Below are 21,760 nucleotides of genomic sequence, written 5' to 3'. Positions count from 1 at the left end.
TCTCTGGGACAAAAAAGAGGGAGACAAAGTGGAACATCCTTTTATCCCACCTCTCCAGAGTCAGAGATGAAGACATATGACCAGCAGCTTCCAGTTTGTATTTATTTATTTATTTATTTATTTAGAGACAGAGTCTCGCTCTGTCGCCTAGGGGGGTGCAGTGGCGCAATCTCAGCTCACTGCAACCTCTACCTCCCGGGTTCAAGCGATTCTCCTGCCTCAGCCTCCTGAGTAGCTGGGATTACAGGCGTGTGCCACCATGCCCGGCTAATTTTTTGTATTTTTAGTAGAGACAGGGTTTCACCGTGTTAGCCAGGGTGGTCTTGATCTCCTGACCTCATGATCCGTCCGCCTCAGCCTCCCAGAGTGCTGGGATTACAGGCATGAGCCACTGCGCCTGGCCCAATTTATTTTTTTTTGTAGTTTCATTCTCCTCACATCCAAACAGCTACAGCTTCCCTCCTTTTGTGGGGTCCCCAAACCAAGTCTCTTTTCAGGAGAGCAGACATGTGCCTCCACACAGTTCTGAAGTTCTGGGGGCTCCACATTGTCAGCTGGGTTGGGGTCTCCCATGTGAGGGAGGCTGATGGCACTCGCAGGTTTTTGCCTCATCTATGTACAAAGGCTCAGAAAATTTCTTCGGCATTTGGGACCCTCGTGTTCTGTAGCTCCACCAGTCGCTGCACAGCCTCAGGCAAGTCCCACTCCCCAAGGCGACGATTATCTCGAGTCCGAATGTTCACTGTTCTCTTACTTTGCTCTTTCTGGCCAACCACTGCAGGTAGAGGAAGTTTGGGAACCTCAGGGCAAATTCACCCACATGGAACAGTTTCTTTTGCTCTGCAGAAACTTGAGAGACCTAAATCTTTAGGAAGGGTGGGAGCAGAGCCCAGATATGGTTCACAGAAAGGAAGTATTCAGCTGTGTCTGCTAATACTAAATGACCAGTCCTGCTCATCCTGAGGAGACAAGGAAGTGCTTCAGTCCCCGCAGGCCTTATCGCTTCTGGTCAAGAGCCCCAGGGTCAGAGACATAAGAGTCAAGCAGAGAAAGACAAACACTGAGAACCCCACAGAGAGAAACTGTGTGTGTGTGTGTGTGTGTGTGTGTGTGTGTCAGAGACATTAGAGTCAAGCAGAGAAAGACAAACAATGAGAACCCCACAGAGAGAAACTGTGTGTGTGTGTGTGTGTGTGTGTGTGTGCGCGCGCGTGTCTGAAGGGGGTATTAGAGCAAGTGGAAGGTGGCAGGAGTGGTGTGGCCTTCACACTGCCCCGCCTCCCCCCAACCACTCTGACCCTTAGAACAGTTTCCTCTCATCAGTCCCACTCTGGCTCTTGGTGTCTGTTAGGGCTGGATTCACAGAGTGAGGGGCCTCTGCTGAGGAGGATGTATGCAGGGGCTGACTGGGCGGTAAGGGAGGGAAAGGGGCCATGTACAAGTCCCTGGGATTGCAGCACAGCTTGCTCTGGGTGCTTGTAGGGAGAGTGGGGTGTGCAAAACTCAAGAATCAGGTAATCTGGCTGAGGAGTTTCTGCTCCTCACCTTTGAGATAGAGCCCTGAACCCTGGAAAATGAAAAAGGGAGCATGGCAGTGCCAGAATTTTCTCCCTAAGGCCTTTCTCCTCATCCCTTAGGGCTGATTCCATCTAGGTCTAAAATAAACAAGGGTAATTAACGCTGTATTAACCCTCCCGTCCCTTTCTCTCTGATGCTCCCTTGGTTAATTAACCTAACAGACACCAACAGCTAGAGTGGAGTTAAAAAGAGGAAAACTATTTTGAGTGTCAGAAGTGGTTATGGGGAGGGCAGGGCAATGTGAAGGAACACAGGGCCCAAATGAGTCAGGTGTCCTGAATCCTGGCTCCTACCTGCTCAGGTAATGAGCCCCAATTAACCCAAATATGCATTACCAGACTTGGTAAACTTAACAGCAAGAATGCAGACGGCAGGTGGGAGAACATTGGCTCTGAGGTTCAGCTTACCAAACTGAAAATTGTAGTGGGCAAGCTGGGCCCGGCGGATTCTCCGGCTGAGGGTCAGTCCAGAGTCTGCATCCAGGTCACTGACCAGTCCTGCAGCCCGCAGGCTCTGCTGTGCCTGCAACAGAGGTTTGGTGACAGGAAGTTAATTTACTGGAAAGTTAAGGAGCTAGAACAGTCTGATGCTCTTTTCCCTCAATGCCCCCATCTGTTCCTCCTTTCCCTGCCTCGGGGCTCTCCACTTCTTACCAGCAACCTCTCCTCATTTCATCTCCACATTGAGGCCTCCTCCCCATTCATCCCCAACCCCACAATCTTTCTGCCTCCTACTGGAGATGACCCCCCAGTTATTCCGTGGACTTTGCCTTCTAGCCACTGCTCTACCCAACCAGCTGTTTGACTCTGGTACCATCCATATCCTCAATTCTCTCTAGAAAGGAAAAATAAAACTGTGTACTCAATCCCAGTTTTGTGCCAAGTGCTCTTTTGGTGGCTTTCAACATTTGTTAATTTGTTTAATTTTCATACATCTCTACAAGGTAGGCATTAGTCACATTTTTTAGATACAGGATTTCCAGCATCTAGGACAGCAGCCACTCGAGCCCAGTCTTGTGGCTGTGAGGGCTGTGCTCCTTCCTCTACCACCCCTGCAGCCTCTTCCTGCCCACTGCAGGGCACCAGACTCTCTACTGGACCTGCTTCTGCCCCCTCCCTTACCTCAACTCCTTACCTCTTTGGCGTATTCCTCTTGCTCACTCCCCACAGGGATGACCACCACCTGGAACGGGGACAGCCACAGTGGCCTGGTAGGGAAAGAACAGGTGATGGCAAATTAGTCACTCTGGCTCTGGCCAGAAGTGTGCTTGTATGGAGCAGACTTGAGAAGGAAAGAGGCTGGCATATGAAGGGGGACAGGATCTGGAGCATAACTATCCGGTTTGGGGCCAGAACAGAAATCCAGGTCAGAGGTCTCACCATTTCCCCCCGCAGCTTTCTGCCAGCACTCCCAACAGTCTTTCCACAGAACCGAGCACTGCTCGGTGAATGAGGACTGGACGCTCCAGGGCACCCGCCTGCCTTGAAAGGAAAAAGGGGGGGGTGGATGGAATGGTGGAAGTATCACGAATTGTGTACCCAAGATCACCTTCCAGTTTTTAAGAAATATTCAGCTCTGGCAGGAGAGGGTGTGGAGGGTTTAGTTTTTAGGGCCAAAGGCAGAAGGACTTATTCCATGCACTGTCAAGGGAAAAGAGGATAGGGCAAGGTTTTATACCCCTTATACTGGAGGTCAAATCTCAGGGGCAGTTGGAAGTCAAGCTGAATTGTCCCACACTGATGTGGCCGGCCCAGGGCATCGTGGAGGTGCACGTCAATCTACAGGAAACAGATGGGAAGGCACGAGATAAGCCAGAAGCACTATCCAGAACCACTATCCTCCATTACCTGTGCCATCCCACCCTTTAACCTACCCTCATCCCGGGCTACTACCTTCATCATGTCACCTAGCTCTATCATACGCTACCCCTCCAGTTCACTCTACTCAACTCACTCTGGCAGTAGTTCTCAGCAGCTCTCTCCATCTAATAATGGTGTTATAATATTACCTGATGTCCACACCCTGGCCTCTCAATTCCTTGAGCTCCTCATCTCAGAGATCTTCACCACCACCCATCTATGGCTACACCCTTTATCCTGTCATCTCCCCCAATGGCTGTACCTCTGAAACTGTCCATCAGACACCCTACTCTGATTACTGTCTCTTGGTCAGCCAGCTCTGAGAATTATTCCTTTTTTTTTTTTTTTTTTGAGACAGAGTCTCACTCTGTCACCCTGACAGGAGTGCAGTGGCACGATTTCAGCTCACTGCAGCCTCCGCCTCCCGGGTTCAAGCGACTCTCCTGCCTCAGCCTCCTGAGTAGCTGGGACTACAGGTACATGCCACCACGCCCAGCTAACATATATATATGTATGTGTGTGTATATGTGTGTGTGTGTGTGTGTATATATACACACACATATATATACACATATATACACACATATATACACACATATATACACACATATATACACACACATATATACACACACATATATATACACACATACACACACACACACACATATATATACACACACACACACACACACACACACACACACATATGTGTATTTTTTTTTTTCAGTAGGGATGGGGTTTCACCATGTTGGCAAGGCTGGTCTCAAACTCCTGATCTCAAGTGATCTGCCCACTTCGGCCTCCCAAAGTGCTGGGATTATGGGTGTGAGCCACCACACCCGGCCATGACAATTATTCCTATTAATGGCACTTCAACCCACCGGTTCTTTAACTCCTCTTTTTCTCTCCCATCCTCAGGCCCCTCCCACCTTTGTTTCTTATCCCATGAAGCTGTACCATTTTCCCTAGTTCCCTTTGTACCATTCATTGTTCTTCTGCACCTTAGCCTCCTACATCTTTGGCCCTGCAAGAGAACTGCTCAGTGCTGCCCAATATGTCACAAACCACACAGATGCAAATGCAGAGATTGATGCCACCATGGAAGTCAGTATTTCGAGATTCAGCTGGTCCCTGTCTGCTGCCAGCAATCCTTTGGATTGCCCTAATAAGCTCTATGCTCTGTTCTCCTCAGGGATGTTCCAGTTTTTTGCTCTCTCTTTTTATAGCAGTATCTGAGCCAGCAACTTATTAGACTGATTCAACATAATACACACTTTATGACTGTTATATCTGTAACCTTAAGCACATTGTTTAACCTCTCTCAATTTTTTTCTTAGTAATAAAGATATTTTATTTGCCTACTGTTATTGCTGAAATAAATCAGAAGACACACTTTCATTACTGTTAATATTTTAATTTACTAACTACTTAGTGAAGCAGGTAAATAAATACCATATGCTGGAATAAACACTTGGGACATAAAAATGAGAATACACATGTTACCTGAATAAAAGACCCCAACACAGTCAACAGCAACTTTGAGTACTCAAAAGATTTTAGCCAGGCAAGGCACATGGCCCACTCCTGTAATCCCAGCACTTTGGGAGGCCGAGGTAGGTGGACCACCTGAGGTCAGGAGTTCGAGACCAGCCTGGCCAACACGGTGAAATGCCGTCTACTAAAAAAGGGAATACAAAAATTAGCTGGTGTGGTAGCGGGTGCCTGTAATCCCAGCTACTGGGGAGGCTGAGGCAGGAGAATCGCTTGAACCCAGGAGGTGGAGGTTGTGGTGAGCCGAGATTGTGCCACTCCACTCCAGCCTGGCGACAGAGTAAAACTCCGCCTCAAAAAAAAAAAAAAAAAAATTAGCTGGGCGTGGTGGTGCACACCTGTCCCAGATACTCGGGAGGCTGAGGCAAGAGAATCGCTTGAACCTGGGAGGTGGAGGTTGCAGTGAGCCAAGATCCGCCAGTGCACTTCAGTCTGGCAACAGAGCAAGAGTCTGTCTCGGGGAAAAAAACAAAAACGAAAAAAACGCTGGGCAAGATGGCTCATGCCTGTAATAATCCCACCACTTTGGGAAGCCAAGGCGAGCAGATCACCTGAGGTTGGGAGTTCAAGACCAGCCTGGCCAACATGGTGAAATCCCATCTCTACTAAAAATACAAAAATTAGCCGGGCGTGGTGGTACATGCCTGTAATCCCAGCTACTCGGGAGGCTGGGGCAGGAGAATCGCTTGAACCTGGCAGGCAGAGGTTGCAGTGAGCCGAGATTGCGCCACTGCACTCCAACCTGGGCGACAGAGCAAAATTTGATCTCAAAAAAATATATAAAAATAAATAAATAAAACAAAACAAACAAAAAAAAGATTTTAGCTATATAACAGTTCTTGAGTAATTTCCTTTCTCTATCTTTTTATTTATTTATTTTATTGAGACAGGGTTTTGTTCTGTTACCCAAGCTGGAGTGTGGTGCCTTGATCATAGCTCATGCAGCCTCAAAATCCTGGGCTCAAGTGATCCTCCCACCTCAGCCTCTTGAGTAGCTGGGACTACAGGTGCCCACCATCACATCCAGCTAATTTTAAAATTTGTTTTAAATTTTTTGTAGAGACGGTCGGGCGCAGTGGCTCATGCCTGTAATCCCAGCACTTTGGTAGGCCAAGGCGGGCAGATCATGAGGTCAGCAGATCGAGACCATCCTGGCTAACACGGTGAAACCCCATATCTACTAAAAAAAAAAAAAAAGAAAAAAATTAGCCAGGCATGGTGATGGTGATGGGTGCCTGCCTATAGTCCCAGCTACTCGGGAGGCTGAGACAGGAGAATGGCGTGAATCCAGGAGGCGGAGCTTGCAGTGAGCCGAGATCGAGCCACTGCACTCCAGCCTGGGCAGCAGAGCGAGACATAGTCTCAATAAAAAAAAAAAAAAAAAAAAAAAAAAAAAATTTTTTTTTGTAGAGACGAGGTCTTATTATGATGCCCTGTTACTATGTTGCCCAGGCTGGTATCAAACTCCTGGATTCAAGTGATCATCTCAGCTCAGCCTCCCTAAGTGCTGGGATTACAAGAGGGGGCCACTGCACACAGCCTTTTCTTCATATCTTCAGCCCCCTCACTGACAACTCTCCTCTTCTCCACTCTCATTTCAGCAAATGATCCTGCCTCATGAAGAATTCAGATAATTGATACCATGGGATGGGAAGAGCCTCAACTTCCTGTTACCATGCCTACAAACTTCCTTGCATCTACCTTCAGCCTTTCCTTCCACCCTGGATACAATGGCAATGGTGATCCCTTCTATGAAGGCTTCTCAATCCTACCTTAAACCTCTCCAGGAACTTCCCTTTACAACAACTTCTCCCTCCAAATAGACTTCCTCTCATCATAGCATTTATTTTATTTTTCATTTTATTATTATTTTTCTGAGATGGAGCCTCACTCTGTCGCCCAGGCTGGAGTGCAGTGGTGCGACCTCGGCTCACTGCAACCTCCGCCTCCTGGGTTTACAGGTGCCTGTCACCACGCTGGGCTAATTTTTGTATTTTTAGTAGAGACAGGGTCTCAAACCCCTGACCTCAGGTGATCCACCTGCCTCAGCCTCCCAAAGTGCTGGGATTATAGGCGTGAGCCACCGCCCCCAGCCTGTTTTATTTTTACTTTTTGGGACGGAGTCTTGCTCTGTTGCCCAGGCTAGGGTGCAGTGGTGTGATCTTGGCTCACTGCAACTTCCCAGGTTCAGCGATTCTCCTGCCTCAGGCTACTGAGTAGTTGGGACTACAGGTGTGTCCTAACACCTCACCCGGCCAATTTTTATATTTTTAGTAGAGATGGGGTTTCGCCACGTTGGCCAGGCTGGTCTCGAACTCCTGACCTCAAGTGATCCACCCACGTCGGCCTCCCAAAGTGCTGGGATTACAGGCGTGAGCCACCACACAGGCCTCATTTATTCATCTTCTAACTCCACCCTCAGGCCCTACTTTACTGAAAATGGTCCTTTGAAATCCAGCAGCCTTTTTACTAAATCCAGTGGACACTTTTCAGTCCTTTTTTCCCCTTGGCTTCTTTTTTTTTGAGACAGGGTCTCACTCTATCACCCAGGCTGGAGTGCAGTGGGGCGCAATCTCGGCTCACTGCAGCCTCTACCTCCTGGGACCAGGTGATCCTCCCATCTCAGCCTGCTGGGTAGCTGGGACCACAGGCACAAGCTACTGCACCCGGCTAATTTTTTTTTTTTTTTTTGGTAGACACAGGGTCTCCCTGTGTTGCCCAGATTGGTCTGCCATGTGTTTTCATCCTTATCCCCAGCCTCTGCCTACACTGTTCCCTCCTGAAACACATCTTTACTTGGCCAACACTCACCTTTCAGATTGGAAAGTGATTCCTGCAGGACACCTTTTGTAACCTCCCCGAGTAATGCTAACCCCAGCTAACGTGCTCTCTTGGTACCTACACAGCACAGATCTCGCAGCACTGATATGGCCTATTTACCTTCAGCAGCCCTCACTAGATTGCAGATGCCAAGAGGGCAGAAAGTATATTGTTTTTCTTTATATCCTACGTAAGTTTAAAAATATTTCTTTGTGGCCGGGTGCGGTGGCTCACGCCTGTAATCCCAGCACTTTGGGAGGCCAAGTGGGGTGGATTGCCTGAGGTCAGGAGTTCGAGACCAGTCTGGCCAACATGGCGAAACCCCATCTCTATTAAAAATACAAAAAAATTAGCCGGGTGTGGTGGCGTACACCTGTAATCCCAGCTACTCGGGAGGCTGAGGCAGGGGAATTGCTTGAACCAGGGAGCTGGAGGTTGCAGTGAGCTGAGATCACACCACTGCATTTTAGCCTGGGTGACAGAGTGAGACTGTCTCAAAAAAAAAAATTCTTTGTATCTATTAAATATTTACTAAAACAAAGCAAAAAATAAATAAATACAACACTAACCAGGGTCCCAAGCTTACCTTAGGTCCATAGAAGGCACCATCTCCAGAGTTGAGGTCCCAGGGTTCTCCAAATTCCTTCAGGGCCTGTTTAAGGACCTTTGAAGGAATGAGACAAGAGTGGAATACATCATCTTAGACTTCAAAAGCAACACATCCGGTCAGTCCCCAACAAATGACCCACTCACCAGATGCCTCTGAGAACCTTGATTACTGTATTCTCCACTCCTTCCCACCAGAGAGTGGTTTATCTGCCTCTATTTCTCTACCTCCTACTCACCTGTTCGGCCTGGTCCCAAAGGCAAGGGTCCCCCAGGAAGCCAGATGGCCGGGTGGACAGTGCCAGGCGGAAGGAGAAGCCAAGAACGGCATAGACGGAACGGAGGAAATCAAGACAGCTTTGGATCTCTGCTTCCAGCTAGGGGCAGGAAATAAGGGTCAGTGAGCTGTGAGCCCGCTAGAGATCAGGGATGCTGGCAGTTTGAGGAAAACAAAGGGCAAAAACAGAGAGGAAGCGGAAGCAAGCTGGGGGTAGAATGTAGCTGAATTATAGTACATACAGGGGGCAAATAAAGATCAGGGGTTTGCAGGTTCATAGGGAGAAAGAAAGGTGGTTTAGAAAAGCTTTGGTGGAGCCAGGGAAAGGCCACCTGATCTGTTGTACAGAAGATGTGAGCGTCATCCTGCTGGAAGCACCGCAGTCGGGTCAGTCCCCCCAGACCACCAGAGGCTTCGGCCCGGTGTAGAGCCCCAAAGTCAGCTAGTCGCAGGGGCAGTTCCCGCCAGGATCTGGGCCGGTGGGCGAACATCAGGCTGAGGTTGGGGTGCAGAGGGGTCAGGGCCATAGGGAGGACTAGCCCCCGAAGACTGCTCCTCCACCCAATCTGCTTGCCTACTTTCTCTGCACCATCTGCTATAACCCTCTCCAGCCTCAGCACATCCTCCCACTGAGTCCTGTCAATCCCACTCATCACAGTCTGAGCCCTGAGGTTCAAAAGTGGATTTCTCAGTAACACAATAACAGACATCGTTTACCATTTCCCTGTTCTGTGATGGTCACTGAGCTGAAGGAGGAGCCTTAGATAGCAACTTTAAGGAGACTGAGACCTAAAGAGGTAAAATGAGTTTCCCAAATTTACATGGTTAGCTAGGGGGAAGACTGTAGGCTCAAATCGGTGTCCCAATACTCTTTCCAAGGTGCTTTCTTTTTTTTTTTTTTTTTGAGATGGAGTCTCGCTGTGTCACCCAGGCTGGAGTGCAGTGGCGCGATCTCGGCTCACTGCAAGCTCCACCTCCTGGGTTCACGCCATTAGCCTGCCTCAGCCTCCTGAGTAGCTGGGACTACAGGCGCCCGCCACCGTGCCCGGCTAATTTTTTGTATTTTTAGTAGAGACAGGGTTTCTCCATGTTGGTCAGGCTGGTCTCAAACTCCCGACCTCAGGTGATCCGCCCGCCTCGGCCTCCCAAAGTGTTGGGATTACAGGCGTGAGCCACCGTGCCCGGCCCCAAGGTGCTTTCTATTATTTAATATTTAGCAACCTGATTGTAACCCTAGCTCCCAGCTTACCAGTGTGCAGGGCAGTTCATAGGCTTGAGGGCGAGTGTATCTGTGATATGCCTGGTAGAATCGTCACTCTGGGAGCTGGGAGGCCTGTCAGAGCCTGGGGGCTGCACGGCAAACATGTCTTCCTGATAATGCTCCCAGTGCCCTGACTGTTCCCAGAGCTTCGTAGAAAACAGTGTGGGAGTTTTCACCTCGGAGAAACCACGATGGGCATACTCAGCCTGGAGAGGAGGGTACAGACATGGAAGGTCAGAGTAACTGGAAGGAAAGCAGGTAGGGTGTCAGCTGTGTGATCTTCCTGGGCCCTCAGGCCATGCTGATTGCAACCACAACCTATTAAATACCAGGTCCCATCTCTATGCTCCCCGACTGCAGACCACACAATTGTAGTATTAAAGGTCACCAGCACTTTCAATATTTATGTTTATGATTCCAAACCAGCCCCCCCACCTTTTTTTTTCTCTTCAAGACGGAGTCTCACTGTATCACACAGGCTGGAGTGCAGTGGCTCAATCTCAGTTCACTGCAACCTCCCCTTCCTGGGTTCAAGGGATTCTCCTGCCTCAGCCTCCCCAGTAGCTGGGACTACAGGCGCTGCCACCACACTGGCTAATTTTTTGTATTTATTTTAGTAGAGACAGGGTTTTGCCATGTTGGCCAGGCTGGTCTCGAACTCCTGACCTCAGGTGATCTGCACGGCTCAGCCTCCGAAAGTGCTAGGATTATAGATGTGAGCCACTGTGCCCGGCCCCAACCCCCATCTTTTAACACAAACACCTTAGCTTCTTCTAGTCCCTCAGCCCCTCCCTGGTCTTCTTTCCTCTAGACCTGGGTCCCCTTACCCTGATAAACGCCACTAGTGCATTATACACCCTTGTCCCTCGTGGCAGGAAGAAGCAGCTCCCAGGGCTCAGTTCATGGAAGAAGAAGAGCTCCTGTTCCTGGGGTCAGGAATAGCAATATTGGGTCACCTCAAGGGCAAGGAGGTGGCTTTGGAACTCAGAACAACTGACGGAGCTGCTCAGTCTGTGTGACTGAATCTGCTCCCAATTTCATAATCAGGTTCTGTCATCTCTCTCCAACCCTTATCACCATCCCTCCCTATCTTCCCAATTCCTGTACCTTCCCAATGCGCCGGTGGTCCCGCAATTCTGCTTCCTCCCTCCATGCTTCCCAGACCCTCAGCAATTCTGTTGTGGGGAAGGAAATCCCTGACACTCTCTGCAGTGTCTCTGGGGCCCCTGAAGACCTCCATAAGGATGATGAGTTCTGTGTGAGGACATAGGGGATCAAAGGAAAGATGAGGACTGAAGGCCCCCACCTTTTTCAAGACTCAAATGATACTCTCAGTGTTAAGTGTCACAGGTATGCCTCTTGACAACAATCCCACCAGTAGGATGAACACCTCCATCCTCTAGACACCATTCTTCTAGATTAAAGTGTTGAAATTGCCTGACTCTTAATTCCTACATACAACCTGGTCAGGCCTAACCTTACCTTGCCATCTCTTTTTCTCCCCATTCTCATTACCCCTTTACTTAGTTCCTTCCCATTCTAATCAATGACTGCTTAGAGGAATAACCATAAGCTCTGGTCAAATGTCAGTCTATTCCTCCATTTATCAATATCCTATACAGCTGCTAGAAAAGTCAGTCTTCTATACCATATCCCATTCCTGGCCACATGAAATCCAAAAGCCTCTGCCTGCTCTCTCCTTTAACAGTACTAATGAGCCGGGCGCGGTGGCTCACGCCTGTAATCCCAGCACTTTGGGAGGCCGAGGCGGGCGGATCACGAGGTCAGGAGATCGAGACCATCCTGGCTAACATGGTGAAACCCCGTCTCTACTAAAAATACAAAAAAATTAACTGGGTGTGGTGGTGGGTGCCTGTAGTCGCAGCTACTCGGGAGGCTGAGGCAGGACAATGGCATGAACCCGGAAGGTGGAGCTAGCAGTGAGTCGCGATCGCACCACTGCACTCCAGCCTGGGCGACAGAGCAAGACTCCATCTCAAAAAATAACAAACAAACAAACAAACAAAAAAGTACTAATGAGAGGCCGGGCGCAGTGGCTCACACCTGTAATCCCAGCACTTTGGGGGGCTGAGGTGGGTGGATCACAAGGTCAAGAGTTCAAGACCAGCCTGACCAACATGGTGAAACCTTGTCTGTACTAAAAATACAAAAATTAGCCAGGTGTGGTGGCACGTGCCTGTAACCCAGCTACTCAGGAGGCTGAGGCAGGAGAATTGCTTGAACCTGGCAGGCAGAGGTTGCAGTGAGCCGAGATCAGGCCACTGCACTCCAGCCTGGGCAACAGAGCAAGACTCTGTCTCAAAAAAATAAAAATGAAATAAAATAAAACTGTTAAACAGTACTAATGAGAAACAGTCTATACGTGTGTGTGTGTGTGTATATACATCTGTCACCCAGGCTGGAGTGCAGTGGCGCGATCTCGGCTCACTGCAAGCTCCGCCTCCCAGGTTCACGCCATTCTCCTGCCTCAGCCTCCCAAGTAGCTGGGACTACAGGCCACCACCACCACACTCGACTAATTTTTTTTTTCTTTTTTTGAGACGGAGTCTCGCTGTCGCCCAGGCTGGAGTGCAGTGGCGTGATCTTGGCTCACTGCAGGCTCCACCCCCCAGGGTTCACGCCATTCTCCTGCCTCAGCCTCCCAAGTAGCTGGGACTACAGGCGCCCGCCACCTCGCCCAGCTAATTTTTTGTATTTTTAGTAGACAGGGTTTCACCGTGTTAGCCAGGATGGTCTCGATCTCCTGACCTCATGATCCGCCTGCCTCAGCCTCCCAAAGTGATGGGATTACAGGCGTGAGCCACTGCGCCCGGCCACACCTGGCTAATTTTTTGTATTTTTAGTAGAGACGGGGTTTCACGGTGTTAGCCAGGATGGTCTCGATCTCTGGACCTCGTGATTCACTCGCCTCAGCCTCCCAAAGTGTTAGGATTACAGGCGTGAGCCACCACGCCCAGCCCCTATATGTATATTTTTTGAAACAGAGTCTCACTCTGTTGCCCAGGCTGGAGTGCAGTGGTGCAATCTTGGCTCACTGCAACCTCTGCCTCCCAGTTCAAGCAATTCTCCTGCCTCAGCCTCCCGAGTAGCTGGGACTACAGGTGCATGCCACCACGCCCAGCTAATTTTTTATTTTTAGTAGTGACGAGGTTTCACCATGTTGGCCAGGCTGGTCTTGAACTCCTGAGCTCAAGTGATCCGCCCAACTTGGCCTCCCAAAGTGTTGGGATTACACGTGTGAACCACCGCACCTGGCCGACAGTCTGTATTTTACAGCACTTTTTAACTTTTCCTTTTTCCTGAATTAGTTGGTTTTCATTATCTTTTTTTTTTTTTTTTTTTTTGAGATGTTGTCTCGCTCCGTGGCCCAGGCTGGAATGCAGTGGCACAATCTCAGCTCACTGCAACCTCTGCCTCCTGGCAGAGTTCAAGTGACTCTCCTGCCTCAGCCTTTTTTGTAGCTGGGATTACAGGCGTAGGCCAGCACACCCAGCTAATTTGTGTATTTTTAGTAGAGACAGGGTTTCACCATGTTGGCCAGGCTGGTCTCGAACTCCTGACCTCAAGTGATCCGCCTGCCTCACCCTCCCCAAAGTGCTGGGATTACAGGTGTGAGCCACCATGCCTGGCCTGGTTTTCATTATCTTTATGAGGTGAATTTACTGGTAGGACAAAAAGGAATTAATAGCCTCATTTTATAGATGGGGAAAATAAGTAAGATTTACCCAAGGCCACCGCGCCATGGGGTTTTGCCATGTTGGCCAGGCTGATCTCAAGTGATCCACCCACCTTGGCCTCCCAAAGTGCTGGGATTATAGGCATGAGCCACCATGCCCAGTCTAAGTTCAGAGCTTTTTGCTCTACACATCTGCATTTCCCCTTGCTCCCTTGTAACTCATCCCATTCCATCTAGTAACTCTTCTTGTCCAGAACAGTATTTTCTTTTCTTTTTTTTTTTTTTGAGACGGAGTTTTGCTCTTGTTGCCCAGGCTAGAGTGCAATGGCACGATCTTGGATCGCCACAACCTCCACCTCCCAGGTTCAAGTGATTCTCCTGCCTCAGCCTCACAAGTAGCTGGGATTACAGGCATGTGCCACCACGCCCAGTTAATTTTGTATTTTTAGTAGAGACGGGGTTTCTCCATGTTGGTCAGGCCGGTCTTGAACTCCCGACCTCAGGTGGTCCACCCACCTCGGCTTCCCAAAGTGCTGGGATTATAGGCGTGAGCCACCATGCAGAACGGTATTTTCATAAAAAGCATGCCCTTTACTAAAGGTATTTTCCCTGTGCCTGTCAAATGGTGTTCATCTTCCTCCTGGACCACGCCCCCTCTCTCTACAACCCTTCCCTGTATGACCCATCCAGCTTGCTCACACCCTCCTGCTCCACCCCTCCACCCCCCTTAATACTGACATCATATTAGGGCATCTGAATTGGCTTCTGGGCCCTAGCAGGCTGTCCAGTGTGTGCCATCAAACGGGTTTTTAGAATGTGGGGACAAAGTTTCTTTCTCCTGTATTCCCCGCTCAGCTTATGAGAGTACAGGGCCAGGCTCAGTGGCTCATGCCTGTAATCCCAGCACTTTGGGAGGCTGAGAAGGGAAGATCACTTGAGATCACCCTGGCCAACATGGTGAAACCCTGTCTCTACTAAAAATACAAAAAGTAGCTGGGCATGGTGGTGCACACCTATTATCCCAGCTACTCGGGAGGCTGAAGCAGGAGAATTGCTTGAATCCAGGAGGCGAAGCTTGCAGTGAGCCAAGATCGCGCCACTGCACTCCAGCCTGGGCGACCGAGAGACTTGGTCTCAAAAAAAAAAAAGGGGGGTGCCGACAGAAAGTATCACCTTCCGATTCTCCTGCTCATCCCAGTGAAACCAGGAATTTTTTTTTTTTTTTTTTTGAGATGGACTCTCGCTCTGTTGCCCAGGCTGGAGTGCAGTAGTGCAGTCTCGGCTCACTACAACCTCCGCCTCCCAGGTTCAGGCAACTCTCCTGTCTCAGCCTCCCGAGCAGCTAGGACTACAGGTGTGTGCCACCACACCCAGCTAATTTTTGTATTTTTAGTAGAGACGGGGTTTCACCATATTGGCCAGGCTGGTCTCAAACTCCTGACTTTATGATCCATCTGCCTCAGCCTCCCAAAGTGCTGGGATTACAAGCGTGAGCCACCATGCCCGGCTCAAAATAGGAATCTTAACCTAACTCTGTCCCACAACTGACCGATAGCAGCTTCAGTCCTCCAATCTGTCCAGTATGCCGAAGGTGGGGGCCCTGGCAAAGGTCAACCAATGTGCCACACCTAGGAGAAAGAAGAGGCCAGTTAGTGATTTTCAGAATCTTCAGCTTCTAGCTTTCTCCCTCTCATGGTCTTTAGCTGACAGAAGAGGTGAAGAGAAAGGAACTGTCCTACTGAGAGAGGGCAATGGCAGATAAAAATCAATTCCCTGGCAGGGCGCGGTGGCTCATGTCTATAATCCCAGAACTTTGGGAGGCCAAGGTGGGTGGATCACGTGGTCAGGAGTTCGAGACCAGCCTGGACAATATGGTGAAACCCCGTCTCTACTAAAAATATAAAAATTAGCTAGGCATGGTGGTGCATGCCTGTAGTTCCAGCTACTCGGGAGGCTGAGGCAGAAGAATTGTTTGAACCCGGGAGGCAGAGATGCAGTGAGCCGAGATCGCGCCACTGCATTCCAGCCTGGGTGACAGAACAAGACTTCATCTCAAAAAAAAAAAAAAAAAAAAAAACTAGCCAGGCATGGTGGCACATGCCTGTAATCCCAGCCACTCTGGAGGCTAAGGCAGGAGAATCACTTGAACCCAGGAGGCGGAGGTTGCAGTGAGCCGAGATCGTGCTACCGCACTCCAGCCTGGGAGACAGACCAAGACTCCGTCTCAAAAAAAGAAAAAAAAAAAATCAATTCCCATTCCCATTTCTTTTTCTGGAGCAACACAAATTACCTTCTATCTTTCTTCCCTTATCGCATTTCTGGCCTTCTTCAATGCTTCCCCACCTCTCTGTTTGCCTTAATCTTGACAACTCTTACCCATATACTGTTGCTGTTGGACCTGTCACTTTCTCCTCAATCAAGTGAAGCTTAAAGGGGTTATCCTGGAAAAAGGTAGAAGGGAGATTGAAGAAAAGTGTTTATTCCCACAAAGATGTCCTGGAAGAGCCACCTCTTCCCTCCACCCCACCTTGAACAACTGGCGAAGCTGATCCCGTGAAGCCTCTAGCCTCCGGAAGGGTCGAGCAGCAGCTGTAAGTTCCTGGCAAATCCGCTCCAAAACAGGCAGCTCTGAGCCCCGGATTGTCCTGGAAAGAGGAGAATTGGTTGGGTTGCATCCTATGAGGTGCATCAATCACCTGGGTGACACACCTGTTGGCTAGCGGGTAAGGTCCTGTCCTTCAAGAGAAATCTAGAGTTATAGGCAAAGACAGACAAACTCAGAGAAAATATAAATAGGATATCAGGTAACAGATATTACAGCTGGAGAAAAAGCTCTATGCATGAAGTTAAAAGTTGAATGCAGGAAATCTGGATAGACAAAGTTAGAACAATAGTAATGAGGGCGATTAAGTAAAACTTGAATTTATGAAAGCTAACAAGTAACAAAGTAAGTTGTTTCTTCTTTTTCTTTTTGTTTTTTTTTTGAGAAAGTGTCTTGCTGTGTCACACAAGTTGGGTGCAGTGGTTAAGATCATGGCTCACCACAGCCTCAACCTCCCAGGCTCAAGTGATCCTTCCACCTCAGCCTCCCAAGTAGCTGGGACTACATGTGCACCAGCCAAGAAGGTAAATTTCAAGCAAAGTTAGAAGAGGGACATGGACTAGCACAGAAGGAGATACTAATGTCATAGTTGAGACCTAGAGAAACCCTTCTCCTCCAGCTTCCTCATCCAAATGGAGCATGCCCAAGGCCCCTGAAAAGAGCCTCAGAAACCATCCCAGAATCATTCTCCTCCTTCCTTTCATTACTCACCTCTCCTTTCCCAGGAAGAAATCATGGTAAAAGCCATATTCTGTACTTGGACCTCTGCAGAGAACAGCACCTAGGAATTGTTCAGCTGCTGCCCCCAGGACATGGGTGCTGGAGTGCCAGAACACCTGGGTTCACAAAAAAGGGGTTCACAAGTTCATAAACTTCTCCCTTAACCCCTAGATCTCTGAGCTCTTCCTCACAAAAGCTGGTAGGAAAGCCGGTATGGTTCTTCTAGGAATAACTACCACAAAATGGGGATCCTAGATTTTGGGGGTGACCACTAAAAAGTAACAAGCTTAAAAAAAAAGGCTGGGCACAGCAGCTCATGCCTGTAACCCCAACACTTCAGGAGGTCAAGGCAGGCGGATCATCTGAGGTCAGGAGTTCGAGGCCAGTCTGGCCAACATGGTGAAACCCTGTCTCTGCTAAAACATACAAAACTAGCCAGGCATGGTGGCGTGTGTCTGTAATCCCAGCTACTCAGGAGGCTGAGGCAGGAGAATCACTTGAACCCGGGAGGTGGAAGTTGCAGTGAACCAAGATCGCGCCACTGCACTCCAGCCTGGGTGACAGAGTGAGACTCCATCTCAAAAAAAAAAAAAAAAAAAAAAGACTGAATAGAAAAGAAAGAAGGCCAGTATTTTTTCTTCTTTCAGTGCATAGAAGCTCCAGCCCCACCCCTCAATCCTTGGTTCTTCCCAGTTCCAAAGCATAGAAGCTGGAGGCCAGTCAGTCTTCTGCTGCTCCTGTAAGCTTTTAGGGCTTCAGAATAATTTTTCTTTTTGAGACGGAGTCTCGCTCTGTCGCCCAGGCTAGAGTGCAATGACGCGATCTCAGCTCACTGCAACCTCCGCCTCCAGGGTTCAAGCAATTCTCCTGCCTCAGCCTCTCAATTAGCTGGGATGACAAGTGCTCACCACCACGCCCAGCTAATTTTTGTATTTTTAGTAGAGACGGGGTTTCTACTATGTTGGCCAGGCTGGTCTTGAACTCTTGACCTCAGATGATCCACCTGCCTCGGCCTCCCAAAGTGCTGGGATTACAGGCGTGAGCTACTGTGCCTGGCCAGAATAAGCTATCTTCTTAACACAGTGGTTACTTAGGTCTCTGTTTGGTCTTTTAGTCCTATTTTTTTCTGTCCCACGAATCTAGTGCGATATATTCCTCTTGGATTTGGTCACTATTTACACATAGATGGCAGGAGAACTCTATTTTTCTGGATCCTAATAGGCAAGGTCTGTGCTACCTGAGCTGACATGAAGAAGACAAGGTGGGGAGGTGACCAGGTTGTTTGCTCAGCTGTATAAGCCATGTTAGAATTGAATATACACTACAGATGACTTATAATGTACGTGCTCAAGAGTTGAGGGGGCTGAATTTACATATTTATCCTTTCGTTTTTTCAACATATCATCTCTCTCCCTCTCACTAGCACAAATGTTTGCTTAATAGATCGAAGCTAAGTTAAAAACTTTCACCATAAGTTTCCTAACCAGAAATAGTCAAGACAGTCTGTGGTAGGTCTCCCTCCCAACTGCAAATGGAGAAACTGCGGCAAAAGAATAAAATGTTAGAATTTCCTGCTTCAATATCTCTTGGTTTAGTAGTCACTGTATTCCTGATAAGAAAGAAACTTACTGCTTTCCCCTCTGGGGAATCGAATGTCAGAAATCTGAGGTCAGAATCTGTCTCCAAGGGCCGCTCCAGATCATAAGGTTCTCCATTCACTTGAGCAGCCACTGCAGTATCTGCCAGTGTTGAACTTCAGCAGTGGAAGGTGGGGATGAAGAAAAAGACAGGGTTACAAGGCACAAAAAGGAAAATATCACATGTTCTGATTCCTATATGAGAGTTTAAAAAGTTGATCTCACAGTGGTAGAGAATAGAGTGATAGTTACCAGAGGCTGGAAAGGATGGGGGAGGGGAGATGAAGAGGTTGGCTAATGGGTACAAAAATAGAGTTAGACAGAAGGAATATGCTCTAATGTTCCATAGCAGAGTTGGGTGAATACAGTTAATAATAATTTATTGTATATTTCAAAATAGCTAGAAGATTTGAAATAGTCCCAACACAAAGAAATGATAAATGTTTGGGGTAACAGATATCCTGAACACCCTGATTTGATCATTACATATTGTATGCATATATCAAAATATCACATATACCCATTCATATGTTCAATTATTATGTATCAATTATTAAAAAGTAAATTAATGATTTAAAACAGACAGGGTTACAATCCACAGTGGGGAGAAAGTTGCTCATCTCTCAGCAACTGTAAACTTGCAAAGGTGAAATGAGTTACCAGAGCAACAGAAGCTTTCATTTCTTTCCCCAATGAAAGGACAGAGACTCTGATGCAGAAACTAATACAGATAAAACAAATCTCAGGCCGGGTTTGGTGGCTCATGCCTGTAATCCCAGCACTTCGGGAGGCTGAGATGGAAGGATCGCTTGAGCCCAGGAGTTCAAGACTAGCCTGGGCAACATGGAGAGACCCCGTCTGTATAAAAGAACAACAACAAAAAACAAAAACAAAATCTTCAGGAAAGGCTATCTTAATGGGGACGGAACAGAAACAAGCAGACCAAGTTTTCTTCCCCTGCTCAAGTGAAGAGAAAGTAAAGGGGCAGAAGGATAATCCTGGTAGTTACAGGATGGGCCTGTTACCTGATCTGCCGGGCTAGTTGGTAGGGGGTTGTGTTCCATGCCACAGCATCAATTTTCTGGCCTCCAGGAAGTGATATCTTAATAGTCCGGGGTTCCTTCTGTGCCATGCTTGCTAATCTCTTTACCTGAGCAGCCCACAGCTCCTCAAAAAGGCCAAGCCGCTCTGCCAACCAGCGTGGAGGGGTCGACACAACTGCCTGGAGGGAAAGATATATTAGCAGGTAACACACGTCCCATCATTCTTTCTTAGAATTGCAGATGATGGCACTTTGGGATGGTTAAGTGGACTTCGTCCGAATTCCTACTTTTTAAGGGGATTGGGTGATACAAGACCCTAGGCTGGGGGTCCTTCGAGCTCAGAGTCCCCCAGACCGCTAACTCGAGAATTAGATAACGAGTTTAGATACGAGTCCTTTTCTGGGGACTCGGAGGACCAGGGAGAGGAGGAGTGGCGTGAGGCTGGGTTAACATAAAAATTTGGGGGCTTCGGCTGGGCTAAGTCTGATGCGGATCGGAGCTTTGGGGGTGCCTCACGCACCGTGTGTAGCCTGCAAGCCTGTAAACCTTGGAGCCGGAGACACCGCCACCTCTGATACAGGGCCATGTTCCTTCACACCAGTGCCTACATCCTCAAACAGATTATCGCCGCTTCTCCTCCACGTAATTCTTCATTGGCTTCTGGTCCAACAAAGTCCGTGTCTATTGGTTACTACAGCTGCCACTCTAGTCTGGCACCACCTCCAGGAACTCCGAAGAGGTACACCCTACACAGCACCAGCAGCGGTGTGAGTGGTTCCGGCTGACCGGAAGACCGAAAATGTAACACACCCTCGCTATTCCCCCAGACCCGTGGCGTTTCAGCTGAAACCCAAAAATAGCAATTAGGCGTCCTGTGGCTTTGAGGACAAGGGCAGGTGAACTTTTGAGGGCGAGAGTGGGAGAAAACCAGACAGGAAATGGTAGTAATTTCCCTTTAACTATACATTTTATTTTACGTGGTCCTTACAGCAAGTAGCAAAACTTAAGAGCATAGACTGGGGAACCAGACAGACCTAGTGTAAATTCTGGATCTGCCATTAACTATGTAATTTTGGGAAAATTATTAAACTTCTCATATTTATTTAATAGAGACCGGGGGGGGCGGGAGGGGGGGGCGGGTCTCACTATGTTGGCCAGGGTAGTCTCGAACTCCTGGCCTCAAGCAATCCCTCCCCTCCCCCCCACCAAACCGCCACCGCGCTCCGGCCTCCCAGAGTTCTGGAATTACAGGCATGAGCCGCCTTGCCTGACCTATTTAATTTCTCTAAGCCTCAATTTTCTCAACTATAAAATGAGAATAGTGTTGCTCCCAATTGTTGAGTTAAATTTTATGTAAATCGTCTAGTGTGGCCCATGGTTTTTTGGTAATGGGCAAAAGCAACAAGAAGCTATTATGATAAATGACTGTAACAGTTTTATTTTTTAATTTTGAGACAAGGTCTCACCGTTGCCCAGGCTGGAGTGCAGGGGTACAATCATGGCTCACTGCAGTCTCGACCTCCTGGGCTCAACTGACCACCTCAGCCTCTGGAGTAACCACTTTAAAGCTGGAGCAAAGATGGCCGCGCGCAGTGGCTCACGCTGTAATCCCAGCACTTTGGGAGGCCGAGGCAGGTGGATCACCTGAGGTCAGGAGTTCTAGACCAGCCTGGCCAACATGGTGAAACCCCGTCTCTACTAAAAATACAAAAATTAGCTGGGCGTGGTGGTGGGCGCCTGTAATCCCAGCTACTTGGGAGGCCGAGGCGGGTGGATCACCTGAGGTCAGGAGTTCTAGACCAGCCTGGCCAACATGGTGAAACCCCGTCTCTACTAAAAATACAAAAATTAGCTGGGCATGGTGGTGGGCGCCTGTAATCCCAGCTACTTGGGAGGCTGAGACAGGAGAATCGCTTGAACCCGGGAGGTGGAGGTTGCAGTGAGCCGAGATCACGCCATGCACTCCAGCCTGGGGGACAAGAGCGAGACTTCATCTCAAAACAAAACAAAAACAAAAAAGCTGGAATCAAGAATCTGCAGAGGTCAGTTTGAGTCCCTTTATACTCATGGTGCTTAATAGGGACTTTATAGACCTTTTAATCTTTT

At 48.6% G+C, this 21,760-nt stretch overlaps 1 protein-coding gene and 1 non-coding gene across 10 annotated transcripts, besides 2 other annotated features; both read right to left on the bottom strand.

The window, feature by feature from the left end:
- TARS2 (threonyl-tRNA synthetase 2, mitochondrial) lies at positions 89-20,272 on the bottom strand. 9 transcript variants are annotated; one of them, NM_025150.5, is made up of 18 exons: positions 20,175-20,272; positions 19,637-19,833; positions 18,604-18,727; positions 16,966-17,090; positions 16,180-16,297; positions 16,029-16,093; positions 15,202-15,280; positions 11,063-11,209; positions 10,783-10,881; positions 9,944-10,161; positions 9,027-9,189; positions 8,657-8,794; positions 8,398-8,475; positions 3,256-3,356; positions 2,958-3,059; positions 2,713-2,785; positions 1,986-2,100; positions 89-775 (listed from the first exon to the last, which is right to left on the bottom strand). In NM_025150.5, exons 1-18 carry the CDS (start codon positions 20,238-20,240, stop codon positions 627-629), a joined length of 2,157 nt encoding a protein of 718 aa, NP_079426.2. In that variant the 5' UTR covers positions 20,241-20,272; the 3' UTR covers positions 89-626. The 9 variants fall into 9 exon arrangements, 7 of the variants coding, with proteins under 7 accessions (NP_079426.2, XP_006711618.1, XP_047286857.1 ...); NR_073514.2 differs by lacking the exon at positions 16,966-17,090; XM_006711555.3 differs by lacking the exon at positions 2,958-3,059.
- Positions 15,281-15,346, bottom strand: MIR6878 (microRNA 6878). Its single transcript, NR_106938.1, has one exon. It is a non-coding gene; the product is annotated as a microRNA 6878 (primary transcript).
- Positions 19,941-20,447: an enhancer, noted in NCBI's record as "H3K27ac hESC enhancer chr1:150459720-150460226 (GRCh37/hg19 assembly coordinates)". NCBI's record gives its function as "activates a minimal SCP1, AML or CMV promoter by ChIP-STARR-seq in naive H9 embryonic stem cells {active_cell/tissue: H9 hESC(naive)}" and the evidence as "EXISTENCE:reporter gene assay evidence [ECO:0000049][PMID:30033119]".
- Positions 20,178-20,447: an enhancer, noted in NCBI's record as "active region_1688". NCBI's record gives its function as "activates an Ori minimal core promoter by ATAC-STARR-seq in GM12878 lymphoblastoid cells {active_cell/tissue: GM12878}" and the evidence as "EXISTENCE:reporter gene assay evidence [ECO:0000049][PMID:35858748]".

This window comes from Homo sapiens, chromosome 1 (genome assembly GCF_000001405.40).
Source record: "Homo sapiens chromosome 1, GRCh38.p14 Primary Assembly".
NCBI classification, from domain to species: domain Eukaryota; kingdom Metazoa; phylum Chordata; class Mammalia; order Primates; family Hominidae; genus Homo; species Homo sapiens.
This window is presented reverse-complemented; position numbering and strand designations above follow the sequence as displayed.

Bases quoted from the DNA above. Each gene is read 5' to 3' on its own strand.
- TARS2 (NM_025150.5), bottom strand. From the start codon at position 20,240: ATGGCCCTGTATCAGAGGTGGCGGTGTCTCCGGCTCCAAGGTTTACAG. The intron at 15,281-16,028 runs GTAAGAGTTGTC...TCTTTCTCCTAG, and splicing joins CCAACAGCAACAGTATATGG to GTGTGGCACATTGGTTGACC. The intron at 10,162-10,782 runs GTAAGGGGACCC...CCTCCTCTCCAG, and splicing joins CACTAGTGGCGTTTATCAGG to GCTGAGTATGCCCATCGTGG.